Source organism: Homo sapiens, chromosome 5 (assembly GCF_000001405.40).
Source record: "Homo sapiens chromosome 5, GRCh38.p14 Primary Assembly".
NCBI classification, from domain to species: Eukaryota; Metazoa; Chordata; class Mammalia; order Primates; family Hominidae; genus Homo; species Homo sapiens.
In genome coordinates, this window is record NC_000005.10 from 108,464,483 (window position 1) to 108,490,646 (window position 26,164).

General features: G+C 37.8%; 1 long non-coding RNA gene across 1 annotated transcript; it reads left to right on the forward strand.

The window, feature by feature from the left end:
* The first annotated feature begins 2,919 nt into the window (after nt 1-2,919).
* On the forward strand, nt 2,920-21,602 carry LOC105379114 (uncharacterized). The gene is made up of 4 exons (XR_948654.2): nt 2,920-2,955; nt 5,918-6,118; nt 21,286-21,388; nt 21,537-21,602. It is a non-coding gene; the product is annotated as an uncharacterized LOC105379114 (long non-coding RNA).
* Nucleotides 21,603-26,164: the final 4,562 nt, after the last annotated feature.

Below are 26,164 nucleotides of genomic sequence, written 5' to 3' on the forward strand. Positions count from 1 at the left end.
CCTTATTATTGGCTTTTATTTTGTGTTTTCAGTGCCTGTGTTTTCCCTTCACATGTATCATATGAAGGATTCAAAACATTAAAAAATGAAGATATAAACATTGGGCATAAATTCATCTTTTAAAAACCAATTGCCATAACCATGGGTCAATTAACTCATGTAGACAAAAATTGGCTACCTTTTTTTTTTTAAATCAAGTATACTTTGCTTCTAAACAACTAACTCTAAATGGCTATCATTAAGACAATGTAATTATGTAGTAAAGACTTTAGAAGGTATAAAACAACAATTAGCTTCTACTTATCAACTCTGTTTTTCAGTTTGAGTGGTCTTCAGAGTTATTCAACCTGATTCTCTTCTTTCTGCAATGCAGTCCATTGACTCTTAATATTTGTCTCTCCTTCTTCAATTTTTAGCTGGGCATATGTTTGGTGGGAATGAAAACTAGTTTTAGTTATAGAACTAAGTTATTTAAAATGGGATATTGATAAAGTGATGTATGGAACTTCCAAGAAGTGTCTTTAAAGAGAAGATGAATGCTCATCTTCTTTTCCTTTTCCCCCTCTTTTGGCTACAATACTATAGACAAGAGAACTAGAGCTGAAGCTGCCATCTTGGATCACTAAGCAATAGCTGCCTAATGAGGTTGATGGAACAATAAGATAAAAATAAAGCACATTGCTATCTCTTCATTCTAGATCATTGATATGGACATTTAGATGAGAGAACAATAAAATTCTGTCTAATAAGCCACTGTTATTTTAGTTCTTCTGTCATTAGCTGACAAAACTAATTCTAAACATCTCCTTTCTATTTGTTTTTGCTCACCATTTTATCCCTGCGGATATGTTCTGTTCTGAAGGGAACAGAACTATGAGAGGCAGCCATCTAGAAGGATAAATATGATCCATCCTCCCCAGTCTGAGGAAGGGGATATAAAAACATGGGTCAAAATTAGGGACAAAACCCATCTCTGACACAAAACATACATTCATTAAATATTTGTTAAATAAATGTATGAATATCAGAGATCGCTGCTATATTTTTGACCCAAATGATCTACCTGTCTAGAAGATCCCTGCTTCCTTTGCCAGTTAGCCAACTCCTAGTAATCTCTCAAGATCCAGCTCAAATGTGGCTTTTCTGTCAAGCCTTCCCAGCCTCCTTTCCTCCCTTGCATGTACCTTTGCTGTTGTCTCATCATGTTGAAATGTCAGAGCAATGCCCATGATTTTTCTCCTTTGTGTTCTTAATACCCAATATGGTATCTGAAACGATGGAGGATGATCAAGGAAGAAATCCTCCTAAACATAAAAATTCACATTAGACTTTCCTCTAAAGATTTACTTTCTTTGAAATTTAGGAACAAGGGTTCTCCAAAGAAATAAAACGAATAGGGTATATATGGGGTGAGGATTCCTTATCCAAAAGGCTTGGGACTGGAGGTGTTCTAGATTTCAGACTTTTTCAGATTTTGGAATATTTACATATACATAATAAGATATTTTGGGAAGGGTACCCAAGTCTAAACACAAAATTCTTTTATGTTTCATATATACCTTATACACATAGCTGAAGGTAATTTTATACAATATTTTAATATATTTGTGTATGAAACAATTTGTGTACATTGAACCATCAGAAAGCAAAGATGTCATTATCTCAGCCATCCCTGTAAATAATCTGTGGTTGTTTGGCCTCACCACCATTCTTGACTCTGAATTAATATGCTATGGATAAGCAATCATTTTCTTACAGTTATTCACACCTAAGCACTTAACAGCAAAATAAATGACATAACATTAATACAGAGAAAAAATAATAAGATCAGGGTAACTAAGCAGCACAGTAGCACTACCAGAATACCTGTATCAGCTGTTAACGCAAACAACAAACAACAGCAGGCTTTCAGTCAGTCTCCACCTACAATGCTGTGGGGTTTTTGTTTGTTGTTTGTTTTTTTAGAAATGGGATCACTCTATGTTGCTCAGGTTGGGTTTGAACTCCTGGGTTCAAGCTATCTTCCTGCCTCAGCCTCTTGAGTAGCTGGGACCATAGGCTAGAACTATCGCACCCAGCTCGAATGCTGTGTTTTTAGTTAAAATGATTTTTTAAGATGAGAAGAAACAATCAGAAGCAGTTGAGGGATGAGAAAGTGGGTCCCTTAGGAAGGAGGAGGCATTCTGCTGGATGGCTTTTTAAAATGTTTCCTCCAGTCATCTGCCTCATTAACAACTTTTGTTCTTTTGTTGGCTTAGAAGGCTTTTATTTTATTTTCGGTTTTGATTTTTTTTTTTTTTTTTTTTGGACAGGGTCTTGCTCTGTCACCAGGCTGCAGTGCAGTGGTGTGATCATGGCTTACTGCAGCCTCAACCTCCCAAGCTCAATTGATCCTCCCACATCAGCCTCCCAAGTAGCTGGAACGACAGGTGCATGCTACCATGCCTGGATAATTTTTTAATTTTTTGTAGAAATGAGGTCTCACTATGTTGCCTAGGCTGGTCTCAAACTCCTGAACTCAAGTGATTTTTCCACCTCAGCCTTCCGAAGTGCTAGGATCACAGGAGTGAGCCACTATGTCTGGCTGTCTCTTTGGTTTTACAAACTGACATTATTTCTTGCTCTGTTATGAATGCAGACTGCTCTAGTCCTTCAGTAAGCCCATCACATATTTTCACCATGCTGTCTATTGACACTTTTTCTGCAGCATTAACAAATGTCATCGTCATTATCAGTGTTATCACGATCACCTTGATTCAGAACCATTTCTATTTCACCATCAGTCGAAGAACAAACAACTGGAGCTTCATTTTCTTACTTTTTTTTTTTTAGACGGAGTTTCGCTCTTGTCGTCCAGGCTGGAGTGCAGTGGCGTGATCTCAGCCTACTGCAGCCTCCGCCTCCCAGATTCAAATGATTCTCCTGCCTCGGCCTCCCAGGTGGCTGGAATTACAGGTATGCCCCACCACTCCTGGCTAATTTTTTGTATTTAGTAGAGATAGGGTTTCACCATGTTGGTCAGGCTGGTCTTGAACTCCTGACCTCACGTGATCCACCCACCTCAGCCTCCCAAGGTGCTGAGATTACAGACATGAGCCACCATGCCCGGCCTGGAGCATCATTATCAATGTCAAAAACTTCTTCAATATCCACTTCATTCAGTTTACTGATGGACTATGAGATATACATTTTTTGCGTATGTAAGGAGTCAGACATCTGGTTCCATTTAATGAAGAATGGGGCTGAAAGGATCTTTTTTCCTTGGAGATGCTGTATAAACGGTGGTGTGGGCCTGTGTTTTGACTGTGACCCATCCTGAGGTTATATTTGGAATTTTCTATATGTGGCATCATGTTGGCAATCAAAGAGTTTTGGACTTTGGAGCTTTTCAGATTTTGGATTAGTGATGCTCAACTTTGTGTGTGTGTGTATACACTCACAGGCATACTTCAGAGATGTCACGGGTTCTATTCCAAATCACTGCAATAAAGCGAGTCACAAAAATTTTTTTGGTTCCCCAGTGCATATAAAAGTTATATTTATACTGTACTGGTCTATTAAATGTGCAGTAGCATTATGTTTAAAAACATAATCTATATACTTTAATTAAAAATACTTTGTTGCTAAAAATGCTAACAATCATCTGAGCCTTTGGTGAGTTGTAATCTTTTTGCTGGTAGAGGGTCTTGCCTCAGTGTTGATGGCTGTTGACTAATCAAGGCAGTAGTTGCTAAAGGTTGGTGTAGCTATGGTAATTTCTTTTCTTTCTTTCTTTTTTTTTTTTTTTTTTTTTTTTGTTTTTTGAGTCAGAGTCTCACACTGTCACCCAGGCTGGAGTGCAATGGTGCAATCTCGGCTCACTGCAACCTCCGCCTCCCAGGTTCAAGCGGTTCTCCTGCCTCAGCCTCCCAAGTAGCTGGGATTACAGGCATGCCACCATGCCTGACTAATTTTTTGTATTTTTAGTAGAGACAGGGTTTCACTATGTTGGCCAGGCTGGTCTCGAACTCCTGAGCTCGTGATCGGCCCGCCACAGCCTCCCAAAGTACTGGGATTACAGGCATTAGCCACCGTGCCCAGCTGGTAATTTCTTAAAATAAGACCACAGTGAAGTCTGCTGTGTCAATTCACTTTTCCTTTTTTTTTGAGACAGAGTCTCACTCTGTCGCCCAGGCTGGAGTGCAGTGGCACCATCTCGGCTCACTGCAACCTCCACCTCCCAGGTTCAAGCAATTCTCCTGCCTCAGCCTCCCGAGTAGCTGGGACTACAGGCGTGCACCACCATGCCCAGCTAATTTTTTGTATTTTTAGTAGAGATGGGGTTTCACTGTGTTATCCAGGATGATCTCGATCTCCTGACCTTGTGATCTGCCCGCTCCAGCCTCCCAAAGTGCTGGGATTACAGGCGTGAGCCACCGCCTTGTCTAGCCCACACCGCGTCTGGCCCACTTTTCCTTTTATGAGAGATTTCTCTGTAGTCTGCAATGCTGTTTGATAGCATCTTAGCCACAGCTGAACTTCTTTCAAAATCTGAGTCAATCCAATTGGAAAAATAGCACTGATAGACTTGCTCAGTGCAGGGGTGCCACAAACCTTCAATTTGTGAAAGAACACAATATCTGCAAAATGCAATAAAGCAAAATATGCCTACACACACACACAGGCACACACACACAGATTTATTTTAAGGATATGGCTCACACCAGTTTGGAGGTTGATAAGTCTGAAATCTTAGGGGCAGTCAAGTTGGCTTGAGACTCAGGGAAGAGTTGATGTTGCAGTCTCAAATCTGAAGACTATGTGGTGGCAGAATTCCTTCTTTTTTGGGAAACCTTAGCTTTCTCTTAAGGCCTTTGACTGATTGAATAAGACCAAACCACGTTTTGAACACTAATCTGCTTTACTCAAAATCTATAGTTTTAAATGTTAATCACATCTAAAAAATACCTTCCCAGCAACATCTATACTGCTGTTTGACCAAAAACTGGGGTACCATGGCCTAGCCATTTGACACATAAAATTAGCCATCCCAGGACCCTTAAATAGAAACAAGTTTATTTAATAGTTGTATTAGTCTATTCCTACATTGCTATAAAGAACTACCTGAGACTGGGTAATTTATGAAGAAAATAGATTTAATTGGCTCAAAGTTCTGCATGGCTGATGAGGCCTCAGGAAACTTACTATGAGGGTGGAAGGCAAAGGGGAAGCAAGGCATGTCATCACATGGCCAGAGCAGGAAGAAGAGAGGGCAAAGGAGGAGGTGCTACATACTTCCAAACCATCAGATCTTTCAAGGGGATGGTGCTAAACCGGTAGAATACACCCCCATTATCTAATCACCTCCCACCAGGCCTCACCTTCAATATTTGGGTTATTATTTTTTTTCATGGCTAAAGTTCATTCTCACCGAGTATTTGCAATGTAATAAAATTAAGCCAAGCTTATGTGAACCAAGAGCTCTGGGTGACAAACAAAAAGAATGTGCACACCGGCAATATTCATTTAAGGTTAAAAGATTTTTAGTATTATTAATCAAGAATTTAAATGTCCCAAATATATAATACTTATTTGCTTAGGACAAGATGTCCTATCCATAACTCAGATGAAAACTATATAAAAAGGAGGAAAGAAGAAAGTGGTCCCTAGAATGCATTAATCTAGAGTAATGGTTCCAGTCAGCCATGCTGTAAATTTAACTTCTATTGCTGTTTGTGCACTAAAGGGCACTCATCATCCCGAAAGAATTAATGCAACTTCTAAAAAGTAGGCCAGCTAATTTACAGGCAATAGCTTACATACCAGAAAAAAACTGGATCAGTAAGTAATGCGATATTTATTTCCAAGAAATCTGGCAATGTTTTTCTCACTGAAAAATGAGTAGGAATGAAGTCAATCTGAAAGTGATTTTTTTCAGAGGCGGGTGAGCACAAGGAAACACCTTTCGCTGATGAAGGAGGAATATGAAGCAGCAGTTGCAGAGGTGAAGAGGAAGAGGAGTATTTGCCAGGAAAACTAGGATGGACCCTTCCCAGTATACATACAGGGAGGATGTAAAAGTCAAAAACTTCCGTCAAAATTAAGGCCAACACCAAGAAAGAAAAACCAGTCCTCTCAGGTAATAGAATTACTAGACTCCCATTCAGCCTTTCTTTTACTCATTCATTTCTCAATCTTCCTTTTTGTTTGGCTCGTGTTTATGGAGCATGTACCATATTCCAGAGCTTGATCTTGGTGCTGAGGTTATGACAGGAATAACTTGTTCTTGCCTGGTCCGTATCCATTCAGCCTTCTCTAGAGATTTCCCGCACATGGTCCCTTTTCATGCCAATGGATTCTCAGGTGTCTCTGCTGAGGGTGTTCTCTAGGCCTGTGTGTGCATTAACACCTCTGAAAGGATCCTCAACCAGAAATGAATAAGGTTGATCTTCAACCAATGAGGATGGGAGATGTTGGATATACCCCAGCTTCCTTATCCCTCAATAGGACAATTCTGAAGCATCTCCCATAATTTCTGAGAGGATCTCCAGAAGGATTGAGGCCTAGTTCGCCCCCAGTGGTAATCTGCTCATCAACACTGTCTTTGCTTTCCTTCCTTCTTGTCTCACTTCTAGGATTACCTCTCAAAAAATCAAATCTGCATCTGTTTTGGGGTAAACCAAGCTAAGACAGCAGGGAACAAGGCAGATAAGGTCCTTGTTCTCATGGAACATATGTATCACCTCAGAGAGAGAGAGACAATAAATAAGTAAAGGAAATAAATATACAAGATAATTTGGGATCAGAACCCAAAGAAGGCAATAGCCAGGATTCTGGAAGAATTGGAGGAGGGTGTTCTCATCAGGGAGTATAGAGGGCCCCAGTGAGGAGGTGACCTATGAGCTGTGGCCTGAGAGAAAGGAGCAAGGTATGTAAAGAGCTCAGGGGAAAATCCCTTTCCCATGAAGTTCTTTTTTCTCCCATCAGGATCCCAGAGTTCCTGGGGATCCTTCTTTCTCTTCCAGAGTTGCACTCATCCTCCCATCCCTATAGGGTTCAAATATACTCGGCTGAGGCAGTATTATTCGTTCTGAATGCTGGGCTGTACCTGCTGCAAGGGAAGGAGAAGTACAGAGCATTATGGGCCTTCCTGCTTTGAAATCAGGTACCACAGGGCCTTGGGATATCCCTGGGGACCCTGCCTCCCCTAGATCTGCCAGAATCCTGTCTCTGTGATGGTCTTTACTATCATCTGAGACTTGTGGCCCCTTCTCCAGATCTGTCTCTTTCCCTTCATGCACAGCAGAAGAACCTCACACCCACCCTTTTTCAATTCCTGGGAGGCTGGGATGGATGAGGGGGTACACGGGGGCCATGGCTACTAGTAGTTTCTCTCTCCATTTCTGCTGAGCTCAGCCCAGTGGACTGGAGCTTCTTTAGGCTGCCACTCCAGGCCACTCTGGATAGAGGAGAACAACTGAAGCAGAGGAAAGGGGTGTTTCCTTATACCAGGCATTTCCTTTATTCTTCCTTCCATCAGTAGAGAGAAGAGTCAGCTTTCACCTGTATAGGATCTAGGAATCTCTCTAGGGGCATTCTGATTACCTCCTAGTAACATAAGTTGGAGAGGGAAGGAGAATAGTCTACTCAATTTGGTGGTAAAGACTTCCCTTTTTTTCCCCTCAAGATGGTGGATTGGAGGCATTGTTAGCATGCCTGTCCCACTTAGAAAGACAAAATAGTATATAGAGATTCACAGTGTGAACTTTATTCCAAGAAGCAACACACAAACTTAACAAGAAAACTGAAAGAAACCACAGATCCTTTGAATGAAGTGACAGACTACAGCCTACACCATGAGCCACGTGGAAAACTGCAGAAGACCACAGTGCCCAGGAAGGAGAAACCTTGTATGTGACCTCAGCTATCACCATTGCCTGAATCACCCTGGCTAGATAACCAGAAGGTCCTAAGTCTGTCACATGACCAGTTCATTACTACTATAGCTGGAATTTGAGAGCCAACACTGTAAGGTTATTTATAACCAAGGAATCTCACAGAGTCTATATCACTCCCCTGCTGTCCCTATCAGAGCTGGTGCTGGTACCTGCTGCTAGGAGACTTGAGGAGAGTTCACACGTCTGGATCCTTTGCAGACATTTCCCGGCACCAGTGTGGATTATTGTGGTCCCACTGGGTGGCTAGACCCAAAGGAACAGCAGAATTGGGCCTCAGGGACTCCTATTCCAGAAGCGGGAGTATACCACACCAAGGGAGCACTCCATGGGACAAAAGAATCCAGATGACTGGAATTGAGTCCCAGAACTTTCTGCTTGTGGGAAGTTTCTTTCAGCGGAGGCACAGGTGCGGTACTGGGCTCAGTGGGGAAAGTCTGCAGCTCTACCCCAACAGTTAGGCAGCCCTGGTGCTAATGAAGGGTCTTGGAGAAGAAACTTCTTACCCTTGCCCACCACTGCGGACACAGCTGGGGCTTCTCCCGTGGGAGCATGGTGTGGGTGCACTTGTAGACAGACTTTCTGGAGCACTTAAGGGTGACTGCATCCGCACAGGAGGACTGCTCTTCAGTTCAGGCTTCCACAAGTGATAGAGTCACGATCCCTCTCTACATGGAACATCAGCATTCCTACAGATGTAGAGAGGTGCCTGTCTGATCTAAATAGCTGGAACACTGGGTCAGGAGTGTGACTGGGAGGCAGACTGCTTTCCTGCTGGCCTGCAGGAGAGCTGAGGTGGCTACCTCCCTTGTGAAAACACCTCAGTGTGTTTCACTGAGAGCTCCCTCAGCCATCTCTGTCAAGACTGGGACCTCAGCCCACCATTGGGTATTGCATTTACCCACTTGCTTTAGCCACAGCTGATTCATACCCATGGACCCCATTTCTACTGGCCTGAATCCTGAACTGTTTAACCCAGTAAATAAACTACTGGGGGAAAAATAATAAATAAATAACTGCACACACTGAGGAATGAGATAAACTTCAAGAGATCTCTGCCATTCTACCCCACAGGAGACAGCGAATCTGCTCACACACTGAGCATATTGTTACTACAACCAACATTTGATAAAGCCATCATAAAGACTCTCTATAAACAGGAAACTCATGCAGAGTCTTCACCCTTGAAAGCACCCAGAGCTGAATTAGGTTACAATAAACTATAATCATTAAAGTCACATCCTTAAGGGGAAAAAAGAAAAAGAAATTTAAAAATAAACACAGTTGAATAAAAAAGAAATTCTAAAATAATTAGAAGAAATACTCTATCCAAATGAGGAGGAATCAGAAAAAAATAATTCTGGTAATATGACAAAACAGGGTTCTATAACTGGCCCCCCTCCACTACAAAGATCACTGTAGCTTTCTAGCAATGGATCCCAACCAAGATGAAATTCTTTGAAATACCCGATAAATAATTCAAAAGGTTACTTATTAAATTACTGGAGGAGATACAAGAGAAAGGTGAAAACTAACATAAAAACTTTTTAAAATAATTCAGGATGTGAATGAAAAATTTTCTAAAGAGTTAGATATTTTAAAGGAAAACCAATTAGAACATCTGGAAATGAAAGACCCATTTTAGGGAATTACAAAATGCAGTGGGAAAGTTTTAACAATAGATTCGAACAACTAGAAGAAAGAATTTCAAAGCTTGAAGATGAGCCTTTTGAACTCACCCAATCAGAAAAAAATAAAGAAAAAAAAACTCAAAAGAAGTTAACTAAATCTCCAAGAAATATGTAATTATATAAAATGGCCAAACCTAAGAATCACTGGTGTTCCTGAGGATGAAGACAAAACAAAATGTTTGGGCAACTTATTTGAGGGAATAATTGAGGAAAGCTTCCCTGGCCTTGCTAGAGATTTAGACACCCAAATATAAGAAGCTCAAAGAACGCCTGAAAGATTCACTGGAAAAAGGACTTCACCAAGGCATATAGAGTCATCAGGCTATGTAAACTTAACATGCAGAAAAGAATCCTAAGAGCAGTTAGACAAAAGTTTCAAGTAACCTATAAGGGAAAACCTATCAGACTAACAGCAGACTTCTCAGCAGAAACCTTACAAGCCAGAAGGCACTGGGGTCCTATCTTTAGCCTCCTTAAATGGAGTAACTGTCAGCCAAGAATTTTGTATCCAGAAAAACTATGTTTCATAAATGAAGAAGAAATAAAGTCTTTTTCAGACAAGAAAAATTCTGAGGGAATTTGTCACTACCAGATTATCCCTACAAAAAAATGCTGAAAGGAGTTCTAAATCTTGAAACAAAAGCTGGATATGCACCATAATAGAACCTCTTGAAAGCATAAAGACTCACAGGGCCTGTAAAACAATAATAATGAAAAAACAGAGTGTCTAGGTAACAACATGATGACTGGAACAGTACCTCACATCTCAATATTAAACATTGAATATATATGGTCTAAATGCTCCACTCAAAAGATACAAATTGGCAGAACAGATTAAAAAGTCACAAACCAAATATCTGCCATCTTCAAGAGACTCATCTAACATATAAGGATTCTTATCGACTCAAGGTAAAGGAGTTAAAAAAAAAGATAGTCTATGCAAATGGAAACCAAAAGTGAGAAGGCATATACTATTCTTATACCAGATAAAACAGAGTTTAAAGCAACAACAGTAAAAAAAGACAAAGTCACTATGTAATGATAAAAGTATAAATCCAACAAGAAGATATTACAGTCCTAAATATGTATGCATTTAACTCTGGCATTCCCAGATTCATAAAACAATTACTACTAGACCTAAGAAAAGAGATAGACAGCAACACAATAATAGTGGGGGACTTCAACACTCCACTGACAGCACTAAACAGAGATCATCAAGGCAGAAAGTCAATAAAGAAACATTGCACTTAAACTGCACTCTAGAACAAATGGACCTAATGATATTTACAGAACATTCTACCCAAGAACTGCAAAATATACGTTCTCATTAGTACATGAAACAGTCTGCAAGATAGACATATCATAGGTCTCAAAATAAAGTCAATAAATTTTTAAAAATCCAAATTATATCAAGTATATTCTCAGAACACAGTGGAATAAAACTAGAAACCAACTCCAAAAGGAATAGTCAAAACAATACAAATACATGGAAATTAATCTGCTCCGGAATGATTTTGGGGTTAACAATGAGATCAAGATGAAAATTTAAAAATTCTTTGAAATGAATAATAGTGCCATAAGTTATCAAAACCTCTGGGAAACAGCAAAAGCAATGTAAGAGGAAAATTTATAGTGCTAAATGCCTAGATCAAAAAGTCTGCAAAGTCACAAATTGACCACCTAACACACACCTCAAGGAACTAGAGAAATAAGAACAAACCAAACCCAAAGCTAGTAGAAACAAATAACAAAGAACAGAGAAAAACTAAATGCAATTAAACATAAAAACAATATAAAAGATCAATGAAACAAAAAGTTGGTTCTTTGAAAAGATAAAAAAAATCAATAGACCATTAGCTAGATTAATCAAGAAGAGAGAAGATTTAAACAAGCCGTTAGAAATGAAAATGGAGACATTACAATGACACCACAGAAGTACAAAAGATCAAAAGAAATACAGAAGATTTGAGGCTGCTATAAATACTTCTATGCACACAAACTAAAAAATCTAGAGGAAATGGATAAATTCCTGGAAACATACAACCCTCCTAGCTTGAATCAGGAAGAAATAGAAATCCTGAACAGACCAATAGCAAACAGTGAGATTGAATCGGTAATAAAACAATTTCCAGCAACAAAACAAGCCCAGTGCAAATGGATTCACAGTGAATTCTACCAAAGAAGAATTGGTACTAATCCTACTGAAACTATTCCAAAAGGTTGAGAAAGAGGGAATCCTCCCTAACACATTCTATCAAACCAGTATCACCCAGATACCAAAGCCAGGAAAGTACATAACAAAGAAAAGGAAAACTACAGACCGATGTTCCTGATGAACATAGATGCAAAAATCCTCAACAAAATACTAGCAAGCCAAATCAAACAGCACATCAAAAAGATAATTCAAGTCAGGTGCAGTGGCTCACACCTGTAACCCCAGCACTTTGGAAGGCCAAGGCAGGAGGATTGCTTGAGCTCAGGAGTTCAAAACTAGCCTGAGCAACATGGTGAAACCCCATCTCTACAAAAAAAAATATAAAAATTAGATGCATGTGGTGGTGCTCACCTACAGTCCCAGTTACTCAGGAGGCTGAGGTGGGAAGATTGCTTGAGCCCAAGAGGTCAAGGCTGCAGTGATCCATGATTGTGCCACTGTACTCCAGCCTAGGTGACAGAGCAAGACCCTTTCTCAACAACTAACAACAATAATAATAATAGTAATTCACCATGATCAAGTGGGTTTCGCCCCAGGGATGCAGGGATGGTTCAACATATGCAAGTCAATAAATGTAATTCATCGCATAAACAGAATTAAAAACAAAACCCACATGATCATCTCAACAGATGGAGAAAAACATTCAGTGAAATTCAGCATTACTTTATGATAAAAACCCTCAACAAACTAGGTATAGAAGGAATATACCTCAAAATAATGAAAGCCATCTATGACAAACTCACAGCCAACATCATACTGAATAGGGAAAAGCTAAAAGCATCCCCTCTAAGAACTGGAACAACACAATGATGCCCACTTTCACCACTTGTATTCAACATAATCTGGAAGTCCTAGCCAGAGCAGTTAGGCAAGAGAAAGAAATAAAGGGCATCCAAATTGGAAAACGAGAAGTCAAACCATCTCTGTTTGCCAATGTTATGATCGTATACCTAGAAAACCCTAAAGTCTCCTCCAAAAGGCTGCTATATTTGATAAATGAATTCATTAAAGTCTTAAGTTACAAAATCAATGCACACAAATTAGCAGTACTGCTATACACCACCAACAACCAAGCTGAGAATCAAATAAAGAACTCAATCCCTTTTACAACAGCAATAAAAAAACAAAATACCTAGGAACATAATTAAACAAGGAGATGAAAGATCTCTACAAGGAGAAGTACAAAACGCTACTGAAAGAAATCATAGATGATACAAACAAATGGAAATACATCGTGTGCTCATGGATTGAAAGAATCAATTTCATGAAAATGATCATACTGCCCAAAGCAATCTACAGATTCAATGCAATTCGTATCAAAATACCAACATCATTTTTCAAACAATTAGAAAAAAATCCTAAAATTCATATAGAAACACAAAAGAGCCTGAATATCCAAAGTCATCTTAAGCAAAAAGGACAAATCTGGAGGCATCACATTACCTGACTTCATACTATAAGGCTATAGTAACCAAAACAGCATGATACTGGTATAAAAGTAGTTACATAGGGCCGGGTGCAGTGGCTCACACCTGTAATCCCAGCACTTTGGGAGGCCGAGGTGGGCGGATCATGAGGTCAGGAGATCGAGACCATCCTGACTAACATAGTGAAACTCCATCTCTACTAAAATACAAAAATTAGCTGGGCATGGTGGCATGTGCCAATAATCCCAGCTCTGTAATACCAGCTACTCAGGAAGCTGAGGCAGGAGAATCCCTTGAACCAGGGAGTCAGAGGTTGCAGTGAGCCAAGATCACGCCACAGCACTCCAGCCTGGTGACAGAGCGAGACTCCGTCTCAAAAAAATAAATATAAATAAGTAAATAAATAAAAATAAAAATAGTTACATAGATCAGAACAGAATAGAGAACCTAGAAAGAAAGCCAAATACTTAAAACCAATTGATCTTTGACAAAGCATACAGAAACATAAGTTGGGGAAAGGACACCCTATTCAGTAAATGGTGCTGGGAAAACTGGATAGCGACATGTAGAAGAATGAAACTGGATTGCTGTCTCTCACCATACCAAAAATTAATTCAAAATGGATTAAGATTTAAATCTTAAGACCTGAAACCATAAAAATTCTAGAAGAAAACCTAGGAAAAACTCTTCTGGATATTGGCCTAGGCAAAGAAATTATAACTAATATCCCAAAAGCAAATGCAATAAAAATAAAAATCAATAAATGGGACCTAATTAAATGAAAAAACCTTCTGCACAACAAAAGAAATAATCATCAGAGTAAACACACACCCCACAGAATGGGACAAAATATTTGCAAAGTATGCTTTCAACAAAGGACTAACATCCAGAATCTATAAGGAACTCAAACAAATCAGCAAGGAAAAACACAAATAATTCATCAAAATGTGAGTAAATGACATGAATAGACATTTCTCAAAAGAAGACATCCAAATGGCCAATAAACATGTGAAGGAAAATACTCAACATCACATATCACCAAGGAAATGCAAATTAAAGCCACAATGAGATGCCTCCTTACCCCAGCCAGAATGACCATTATTAAAAAATCAAAAAACAACAGATATTGGTATGGATGTGGTGAAAAGGGAATACTTATACACTGCTGATGGAAATGTAAATTAGTACAATCTCTATGGTAAACAGTGTGGAGATTTTTCAAAGAACTAAAAGTAGATCTACCATTTAATCCATCAATCCCACTGTTGGGTATCTACCCACAGAGAAAGAAGTTGCTATATTAAAAAGACACATGCCTGTGTCTGTTTGTCACAGCACAATTCATAGTTGTAATAATATGGAACCAGCCTAAGTGCCCATCAACTGATGAGTGGATAAAGAAAATGTGGTATATATAAACCATGGAATACTACTTAACCATAAAAAAGAATGAAATAATGTCCTTTGCAACAGTTTGGATGGAGCTAGAGGCCATTATTCTAAGTGAAGTAACTCGGGGATAGAAAACTAAATACAGTATTTCTTATAAGTGGGAGCTAAGCTATGGGTATGCAAAGGCATAAAGAGTGGGATAATGGACATTGGAGACTCATGCTACTTTATATTAGTATCCATCCCATCCCTGTCAGCTAGCATCCACTGATCTTTTCTCTATCTCTATAGTTGTATCATTTGGAGAATGGTATATAAATTTAACCTTACAGTATTTAACCATTTGAGGTTGGCATTTTCACTAAGCAAAATAGCCTGGAGATCTATCCAGGTTGTTTATTATACAAGTTTATTCTTTTTATTGCTGAGTGGTATTCCATTGTATGAATGTATCAGAGTTTAACTATTCACCCATTGAAGGATATTGGGTTGTTTTCAATCTCGGCAGCTGCAAATAAAACTGCTGTGAACATTCATGAACAGGTTTTTGTGTGAACATAAATTTTCATGTCAGATGAATGCCAAAGAGTGTGACAGCTGGGTCATATGGCAAATGCATGTTTACTTTTAAGAGAAACTGCTAAGTTATTTTCCAGAGTGGTTGTACCATTTTACATTCTACCAGTAGTGTATGAGTGATAAAGTTTCTCCTCATCTTACCCAGTATTTGGTATTATCACCTTTTTTTATTTTAGCCATTCTGATAGATGTGTAATGATCTATCATTGTGGTTTTAATTTGCATTTTCCTAATAGCTAATGTTGTTGAACTTGTTTTCATGTGCTTATTTGTTATTCCTATTTCATTCTTGGTAAAATGTCTCTTCATATCTTTTGCCCATTTTCTAATTGGATCATTTGTTTATTTTGCTTTTGTGATTTGAGAGTTCTTTATATTCTAGATAAAATTCCTTGTTGGGTATGTGGTTTGCAACTGTTTTCTCTAGTCTGAACACTGTTCTTTCATCTTCTTAACAGGGCTTTCACAGAGCAAAAGTTTTAATTTTTGATAAAATGAAGTTTATCAAATTTTCCTTTAGGGTTTTATTGACTTTTAAATGCTCATATATTGAGGAAATTAGTTCTATGACTGTCAGATGTATTGGAAATATTTTTCCAATTTATGTTACTTTGTTTCATATAAAAATTATTCTTTCTGTTGCATAAATCATCATCATTTTAATGTATTACTTGTTTTGTGCTATGATTTTCCTAAACCTTCTCCTTCTTAAAATTTTCTTCTCCTTTGGCTTCTGTAATATGCACCCAGATTTTGTTCAGCTGCCCCAAAATCTAAGACTTTACAAAAACATTTCAGTTATTGACATCTTAATACAAATTTTTTTTTTGCTCTACATTTTTTTTCCAACCGATCTCACAACTTTATCTGCCACTTCTAGCTTTGACTTGTATTTCTAACTCCAGACTGATGGGACATTTACATATGATTATCCTTCTAACACCTCAAAGTCAAATGTCCCCTCAAAAAATTATTTTTCTCTCCCCTTTGGTTATGATTATCCAATCGTCCTAGGTAAGAAACTGTAGCATCATGCTAACCTTTTATATTTGTCTTATAAACACATCAGTAGTCACAAATTCCTACTAGTTTTATTTTAGAAAATCTTCTCCATGGTTCAGATGTCAGTCGTCACTAATTTGAGATGTTATAGTTGCCTTCTAAACAGTGTTCTGGTGTTCTCTTTCAGCCGATTATATTCATTATCATCAGTGTTGTCTCTCTGGGACATAGTCCAAATATGTCATTCTCCTGCTCATAATCCTACAATAAAAGAGGAAAGTAAAAGGATATAATATTAAAGATAAAAATTATATGGAACTGTGGGTAGATAAGAGAATAAAAATTTTATAGAAGTATATTATTTGCAACTCTATGACAATATATTAAAAAATCTGGAAGAAATGGATGCTTTCCTAGAAAAATATAAATTATCAAAATGGAATAAATAGAAAACCTGAATAGATCAGTAATCATGGAAGAAATGGAGAAGATAGACCATTTGCAGAGGGACCAGGCCTAGTCTTATTTGCTATAGAGGGAAAAGAAATGAATACAAACTTTCAACCTACAGTAAATTTACAGCCTACTAAATAGGTTTCAAAACCAACATAAACAGGTTCCACTTAATAGATTGGGCCAGGCAAAGCAAGGGAGTGAGACTGGGCAATTTCATTCTTGTTTCTTTCGAATTAATGACCTTTTAAATTTTTTTCCAAACAAAATCCTTTGCGTATAGAAACATCAAACAGAAACAGAGTGTTTGTGGGGGTAGATTTTTTTTTTCCTCATTTTTGTACTCTAGAAGCCTCCAGATGGCAGCATTTTACTTTGGAAGATGTTCAGTGCTTGCAGTTCATCTCCTGCTTTTTAATTCATAACGGCACCTGAGTCAGGCTGTCAACAGGCGGAGGGGACGGGAGACAAGGTGGTAGATGTGTTTCAAGATATTCTTACCTTTCACACTCTTCTCTGATTTACCATCCACAGAGATCCTCCGTAAATTGGCAGTTGAGGTAAGCACTTTCCCTACAGTCAATATAAAAACAGGCATTTTATTCCAGCTGCCTTTGTACCACCCCACAAAAATTAAACAGCTGATTTTTGTCTTCCTGACATACCATTTGCACAAAAACAATTTTTGTTTTTCATCCTGAAAATTAGGTAGTAAAGAGTCAATGTTACAAAATTGCAATAACATGGCCGGGCGCAGTGGCTCACGCCTATAATCCCAGCACTTTGGGGGCTAAGGTGGGCGGATCACAAGGTCAGGAGTTTGAGACCATCCTGACCAACATGGTGAAACCTCTTCTCTACTGAAAATACAAAAAGTAGCCAGGTGTGGTGGCACGCACCTGTAGTCCCAGCTACCTGGGAGGCTGAGGCAGGAGAATCACTTGAACCCACGAGGCAGAGGTTGCAGTGAGCTGAGATCACACCACTGCACTCCAGCCTGGGCAGCAGAGCAAGACTCCATCTCAAAAAAATAAATAAATAAATAAATTGTAATAACATTGGCCCTTGCCTAAATTGCTGAAATGTCCTACTTCTTGCCTCTGTAGAGCCTCTTCTCCAAAGTGCATATCATGTCACTCTCCTATTCCCAGCCTATGCCTTCTCATCACCACTAAAGTAAACCCAACCTCCATAAAACGATCTGCAAGGCCCTATAGGATCTGGCCCTCTCCACTTCCCTGACCTCATCTTCTACCATACTCCCTCTTCTCTGCTTACTTGGTTCTAGCCACCATGGTCTTGATGTTTTTTTAACACAATGAGCATGTCCCACCTGGGACCTTTGCACGTCTCTATTGTCTCTCTGATTTTTGCATAGTTTGTGTCCTCATTAAAGTCTCTTCTCAGGTGTCACTTCTTTGGAGAGGCCTTCCCTGATCACTGCCCCCTCTCCCAACCTTATCCTCACCCTGCTTTTTTCTCCCTCAGAAGAATAGAAGTATCTAATAATTGATTGTGTGTCTTTGTCAAGAAGTACATAAATTCCATGGAGGACTGGAATTCATATTGTTTATTCTTACCTCCCCAGAACTAAAAAAAAAAAATGCCTGATACTCAATAATACTCAATAAAATGCCTGATACTTATTGAGTAGGTACTCAATAAGTTGTTGAATGAATGAAAGAATGAAGCAAAGTTCAGTCCTAATGTGTCTATACCATCTCTTTTGACATGCTGTATGGCAGATACTTGGAAAATAGCAGCCCAGCCCTGATTAAGTGGTCTTATTGATGCTAGCTCATTAAATTTCTCAGATACCCATGATCCTATACTTTTATTTCTTAAACAGACACTTAATTTTTAAAAGTCTCCCCAAAGTTGTCACTGAAACAAAAGTGGCGAGATAAATGTTAGAGATTACATATCTTTAGCATTTATGTAATTGAAAACACATTGAAATCAGCATCAGATTATTCTATATAGATTTGTGGAACTAATTCTTAAATAAAGTATATTTTACTGAGAAGTAAGTTACCAAAAAGAACTTGTCACCTGTATCAAAAGAGTTGTTTGCCTTGCTAATCATGGATAATATTTTGCCTGCAAAACAATTCTGAAGCATAGAATATTCAGGCTGCACAGAGAAGAGTGTAAATAATTAACATGTAAATTCAATTATGGCTGTGTCCCCATTACAGTTCTTTTTATGGTAACAGCAGTATACTGTGTCCTCAATTTATAAGTGGAATTGCATCCAGATATAAGTATGTGGAAAAAGAAGTTCTGAAAATTTCTTGTAAATAAAAAGCAATTTATTAAATACTATTCCCATCTGTATGGATCTAGTTATACTCGCAATATTTCAGTTTTGTAACTACATAGAATCCCAAAATTAAAACATAATAATTTAAGTAATATTATATTCTAAAAGATAGTAGAATAATTTTGTAAATTCTTCTTTAGTAACAATAAACAATCTTTAAGCTGAAATATATTAAATACCTTCTTCAAAGTGGAATTGAGGACTTAATTTTTCATATTACCTTACTGAGTGTTCCTATCTGTCATTTTTCTAAGTGCTATTACCTTAATTTGTATTTTTTATTTTAAAAAATTATTTTGATGATTTTGTTCATGCTTATCATATAACTAATAATAGCTTTAATCTATTAAGAGTTTACAATGTGATAGGCATTGTACTAAGCACATTCAAATTACTTGATTAATACTCATAGGTTAGTCTGAGAATCCAGTTATAATTTATAATAAATTTTCAATGTAAAAATGAGCTCCAATTTTAAAAGCACTGACTTACAAATGAAGTATCTTAACACAATGTGTTTATAAGTAGAGAACTGTCTGAACTGAGTGACTGCAAATTTCAATGAATGAAAACCTATGCAGCATGAGAAATTGAATCAAATAAGAACAACGTGTGCAGGAGACTGCTGGAGCTCTTTCATGTCTTATCTTCATGCAGCATTCTTTGCATTTAAAGATACTACTGATGACAGTATTGCTTTCTGAGTATTTGCAAGGCTACAAAGGCTGATGCATGCGTGACTTGCAGTTACTTTCACAATAAGCATTATCCATGTGAATTCGGTCTGTGGATTGTTGTGTGACAAAGTTGTTTGGCAGCAATATCTCTACCCTCTGTGTTAAAGGTTGTCTTTGCCCAAATAGCCACATCATCTCTTATTGCCATAGCCTCTAAGTTTTCTGCTGCTATTATTGTGTCTATACAATCTGCACTGATATGATTCAGTGAGACCTTGTTAGTATTCTTTGGCTTACTCTTGCCTTGACGCACCACAGATTAGTTCACCATAGGGAAGTCATGGTGATGGAGATTCCCCAAATCTCCTCAAAGTCACATGACAAGGTGGCAACTTCTTCTTCTGGCATGCCAAAATGGATATAATGGTCATCTGTGGTTTACCCCTGCTTAGCATCTGTTTCCTTACATCGAGGTAAAATCAACTCCTTTGGGGATTGACCCTCCTCCGCTGATTCAGTTGAGGCCCATGATACTACTGGGGCTAAACCACGCTCTGGAGCCAGTGACTGGTACATGACAGTTGAGTATAATGTATGCCTTGAGTATAAAGACTAGTTAAAGAGTAGGCCTGTGACCTAAGCAGGGCAGTTACAGCCATGAACATAACTTTAAGACTTTCTGCTGGAACCACTGGGAAAGAAAACTGTCTTTTGTTTTTTGTGGTAGCTAAGCCTAGACTTGCTGGTAGACATTTTGACACCACTTGAGGTTAGCCTAAGAATGAAGGCAACATGGCGGAAAGCCAAGCTGGGAAGTGAAGAACATACAAACTACATTGTTTGAGCACCTAGATCTAGCTTCACTTGAGGCCAGCAATAAACCCCTCACTTTTTAGATTAGTTTAAGTTAATTGGATAGGGTTATATCCTTTGCAACCAAAAGAATCTTGAATAATTCAGTAGGCATGACCACAAACTAAATCTCAAGGGCAGTTATGTACCTATACATGCCTTCCCATGTATAGGTAAATAGTCACATTGAAATATAGTATAGTAAATAGTCATATTGAATACCTCTGTTAATAATGAAGAGTGGGCCATGAAATCAATTGCTGGCATATCCCTGAAGATCAGAAAGTGAAATGCAGATTGCTGGTGCTGTATTTTGGAGTTCTACATTTCTGTCCTTTAACCTTTTCATAAAACTGGAGTAGTGGAGAGTGCTGATTAGGGGAAATGCTCATGCTACATCATGATGTCGGCTCTAGTCTTAAAGCAAATCTTACTAGTTGGTTGACAGGTACCATAATTAATAAATAGATGGGGAAATCCCAGGTGAGGTATGAAATTGCTCTCATGTGATGGACATACTTTTGAATTTAGGCTCTGCTTTCTAGCTTTGTGATTGTGGCCAAGTTACTTAACATTTCAGCCATGGTTGCCTCATATTTAAAGTAGGAATAATAATAGTCCTGCCTAATAGGGCTTTAAAAAAAATTAAACAGGTTGATTTGGGGAACGAGCTTAGAACAATGTCTGGGCATAATAAGTACTCAAAATGCATTGATTATATTATTTCTCATTAATTTTAGACATCACGACATTGCCCCAGAGAGGAACCCAGGATTCTCACACCATGACACCATCCCCATCTGTTTCTCCAGCCACATTTGGACATGGATCTGGCAGCCTAAGGTACAAATGCAAGATTCTATACTAGACCTTAGAAGGTTGTCAGTTTTTTGTGGGTTAGTAGTTAATATAGAAAAACAACAAAGTATGACTGCTATATCAGGATTATATTCAGCCTTGAAGCAATTTCTATTTTTATATGTTCACTTAGACCAGTTTGTATGCTGCGAAATCAATGAGAAGAGAATTGTGTTGGCAAGAAATGTGCCTGGTGAATGAATGAAAGAAAGAAAGAAAAAAAGAAAGAAAGAAGGAAAGAAAGAAAGAAAGAAAGAAAGAAAGAAAGAAAGAAAGAAAGAAAGAAAGAAAGGAAGGAAGGAGGGAGGGCGGGAGGGAGGGAGGGAAGAAACAAAGAGATGTTTTCTTAAACTACATATGCCTTTAAACATTTTTATTTAGAATTTTTTATTTCCCTGCAAATATGTGATTATAACATTACAAGGAAGACATTGTAGCTGTACAATAGCCTTCATTCAGCTCTCTTGAAGCAAATATTAAACATGTCTAGTGTAAGTAAAACCACATGTTATAATGGGGAACTATTATAAGAAAAAGGATGTAACATTTGAAATTGGTGAGAAAATCAGAGAAAGGTTGCCCTTTTTGGCATATTTTTAAGCTATCTCCTTTAGATAGTATAGTACAATATGAATTTCTGTTACAGGAACAAAGTTATTAGAGAGTGAAAATGGTGCATTATAATAATGTAATGAAGATTTTTTTACTGAGATAATTGATCTCAGTTTCAAGTAAATAGTTACCCACATCTCCCAATTTAAGGCTGCATTGAATACTTTTTCTGCCTCCTTTTTTATTGTCATTCTGTCAGCTATCACATATTACAACTGTCAGATGCCTGTGTCTAGAAGCTACCCATTTTAATTTCTTGCTTCTAATCTGCAGTGAAGAGGGAAATTAGATTTTCCCTAAAACTAGAGTAAATAAGCTTTAAGTGAAAGTCTGAGAGTTTTCTAATGGTTAGTTGGGTGACCTTAGTGTGTGGTTTTGTGATTTTTTTTCCCCACTGAATACTCAAGGCTGCTTTTTGCTTACTTCTGGTTTTCTCAGCCATGTCTAGATGAGGATATGACCTTTGGTTAAGTGAAGTGCTTTTGTAACAAATTTAAATTTTCAGGGAATTTCTATGTAGCTAAGCTTTATACCTATGCATAATTTATTTTCCTTTGTTCATGATCTTCCAATGGGGGTGTTTAATGTCAACAAGAAATAAATCTAGATTCTATGTTTTGTATTGGTTGCTCTTCCAAATTAATACTCATCCCCCCCAACCAATCCAATACAATCATTGGCCTCATCATTGTTCTCTGAATATACCTTGCTTACTCTTGCCCATATGCAATCTTTTAAACTGTTGCTTTGAGGTGAAGCACTTTTTCCTACCTCTCTTAATGTTCTCATGCTTTCTAAGCCATCTCACATTCTAGTGTTTCCATGACTCAAAGCCTGGACCACATGGATCACTTACCATTCTAATTACCTGTAACTACTTTCTCATGCATTGAGGGAGAGGGGGCTGATCAAATACTATTACTTATTGTTCTCTACTTGGGGGTATATATGCTTAGCATCTCTAAGTATGCTAGTATCTGCTCTGGGTAAATGTACCTTCTTTATGCAGCACAGAAAAGAGAAGGACGTTATTAACACCCTTTATATTATCTTAATCAACTCGTCTTATGTCTGGTAGAAAATAGATGACATCTATTCAGTCAAGGATGAAAGAACAGCAGACAGGATGGCTAGTGATTTGAGAAAAAATGTTTGTCCTTTGTACATATCTTTGTTTCTCCTCAAACAAGCCTTCTTTGTATAAAGATGTCTGGAAATTGTCACATTACATAGGAGTGGGTAGGAAAAAGCAATTCCTTTACTACTAATGTACATCTGTGCAGGGCTTCAAAGGCAACTTGAGCTCAAAGGATTCAGTTTCATACATGATAGTTAAAGTAACAGGTCCACCTATAGATTTTAGATTAGCTCAAGCACTTTTTTCACAGAATTTCTTGTCTCAGACATGTGGTCTAGATATATGACTAATATAGCTCTCTAATTGTGAATCCTTTATAATTTCAACTTTAAAAGAACATCTTTCCATAATTCTGTTTCTCCCCCTCTCAATCTTTACGTTTTGTCAAAGGGAATAATTTCCAATAGTTTCTTTCCTGTTTTGAAACCACTGTGATGGAAAAAAAATGGTGTATTTTTTTGTTATCTTTCAGAAGAAGTTTATTTTTATTCTAACCATTTGTTAATGAGTCACGTAAATCCCTTGGGTTTTCTTGACCTAAATTTCAAGTCTTATAAAAAAAAATCTCACAACATGGTTAACAATTTATTAGAGATGAATAAAATTTTTGTGAAACCCCTCAGTTCTTCCAAGCCCTGAGCCTAGTATAGAGAGCTGCCTGGAGTCCATGTGACTGCACATTGCTCCAGACAGAGTACGTGTGAAGAGTACCACCTCTGGTCCCTAAGCTGCTGCAAGATGGTGCCATTATGAAAGAATAGCCAACACTAGACTTCATCCTGCCCTGGGGCCCAATAGTCCCTGTACCTCCCCATCCTTGGGACCCCACCAAGATCCCCCCATATCCACCCAGAGGGTTGCAGCATCATGACGCTGTCTGGACCCAGTAGTACAGCTGTGTCCTTGGCATCTGAGCCCCTGCTACATCCTACACCCTGAGAAACAGGTGGTTGAGCACATCAAGGAGGCTGCCCCCAAAGCATAGGGAACCACAGCATCAACAAAATAAAAGACAAAAATCATATGATCATCTCAATAGAAACAAAAAAAGCATTTGAAGAATTCAATATCCCTTCATGATAAAAACTCTCAACAAACTGACTATAGAAGAAACATGGCTCAAGATAATAAAGGTCATATATGACAAACCCACAGCTAACATCATACTGAGGGAAAATTTGAAAGCCTTTCCCCTAAGACATAGAACAAGACAAAGATGCATACTTTTACCACTTTTATTGAACATCATTTTGGAAGTCTTAGCCAGAGAAAGAAAGGGAATCCAAATTGGAAAGGAAAAAGTCAGATTATCCTTATTTGCAGATGACACGATCTTATATTTAGAAGAACCTAAAATCTCTACCAATAAACGCTTAGAAACTGATACTTGAATCAGTAAAGATGCAGAATAGAAAATCAACATACAAAAATCAGTAGTATTTCTATCTGCCAACAGTGAACAATCCGAAAAGGAAATCAAGAAAGCAATCCCATTTATAATAGCTACAAAAAATAAAATAACTAAGAATAAACTTAACCAAAGAAGTGAAAGATTTCTACATTGAAAACTATAAAACACTGATGAAAGAAATCAAAGAAGACACAACAAAAATGAAAAGATATCTCAGCTTCATGGATTGGAATAATTAATATTGTTAAAACATCCATACTACCCAAAGTAATCTATCTACAGTTTCAATGCAATTCCTATCCAAATACTAATGACATTTTTCACAAAAATAGAGAAAACAATTTCAAAATGTGTTTGGAACCACAAAATAGCTGAATAGTTAAAGCAATCTTGAGCAAAATGAACAAAGCTAGAAGCATCAGACTACCTGACTTCAAAATATACTACAAAGATATAGTAATCAAAACAGCATGGTACTGGCATAAAAACAGACACACAGACCAATGGAATAAAATAGAGAGCCCAGAAATAACTCCATGTGTTTACAGCCAATTCATTTTAAACAAAGACACCAAGAACATACACTTGGGAAAGGACAGTTTCTTCAATAAATGGTGCTGGGAAAACTGGATATCCATATGCAGAAGAATAAAACTAGATCCCTATCTCTCACCATATACAAAAATCAAATCAAAATGGATTGAAGTCCTAAATGTAAGACTCAGAACTATGAAACTATTATTAGAAGAAAACATAGGGGAAACACTTAGCACATTGCTCTGGGCAATGATTTTTTGGGGTAAGACCTCAAAAGCAAAGGCTACAAAAGCAAAAGTAGAAAAACAGGATCACATTAAGCTAAGATGCTTCTGCACAGCAAAGGAAACAATCAAAACAGTGAAGAGACAATCTACAAATGGAAGAAAATGCTTGAAAACTACTCTTCCAACAAGGGATTAATAAGCAGAATATATAGGGAAGGCAAACAACTCAAAAGCAGGAAAAATCAAATAGTCCAATTTAAAAATGGGCAATTGATCTAAATAGACATTTCACAAAACGGGACAGACAAATGTGCAACTGGTATATGAAAAAGAAATGCTCAACACATCATTAATCATCAGGGACATGAAAACCATAGTGAGATATCTCACTCTAGTTAAAGTGGCTATTATCATAAAGACAAGAAATAGATGTTGGCAAGGATGTGGAGAAAGGGGAATGCCTGTGCAATGTTGGTAGGAATGTAAATTAGTACAGCCACTATGGAAAATCGTATGGTGGTTCCTCAAAAAACTAAAACTAGAACAACCATATGATCCAGCAAACCTGCTACTGGGTATATATCCAAAAGAAAGGAAATTAGTATTTTGAAGAGATATCTGCATTCCCATGATTATCATAGCAGTGTTCATGTTAGCCAAAATATGGAATTTACCTAAGTGTCTATCAGTGGGTGAATGGATAAAGAACATGTGGTATACGTATAAAGTAGATTACCATTGAGCCATACAAAAAAATGAAATTCTATCATTTGCAACAACATGGATGAGCCTGGATGCATCATGTTATTTGTAATTAGCCAGGCACAGAAAGACAA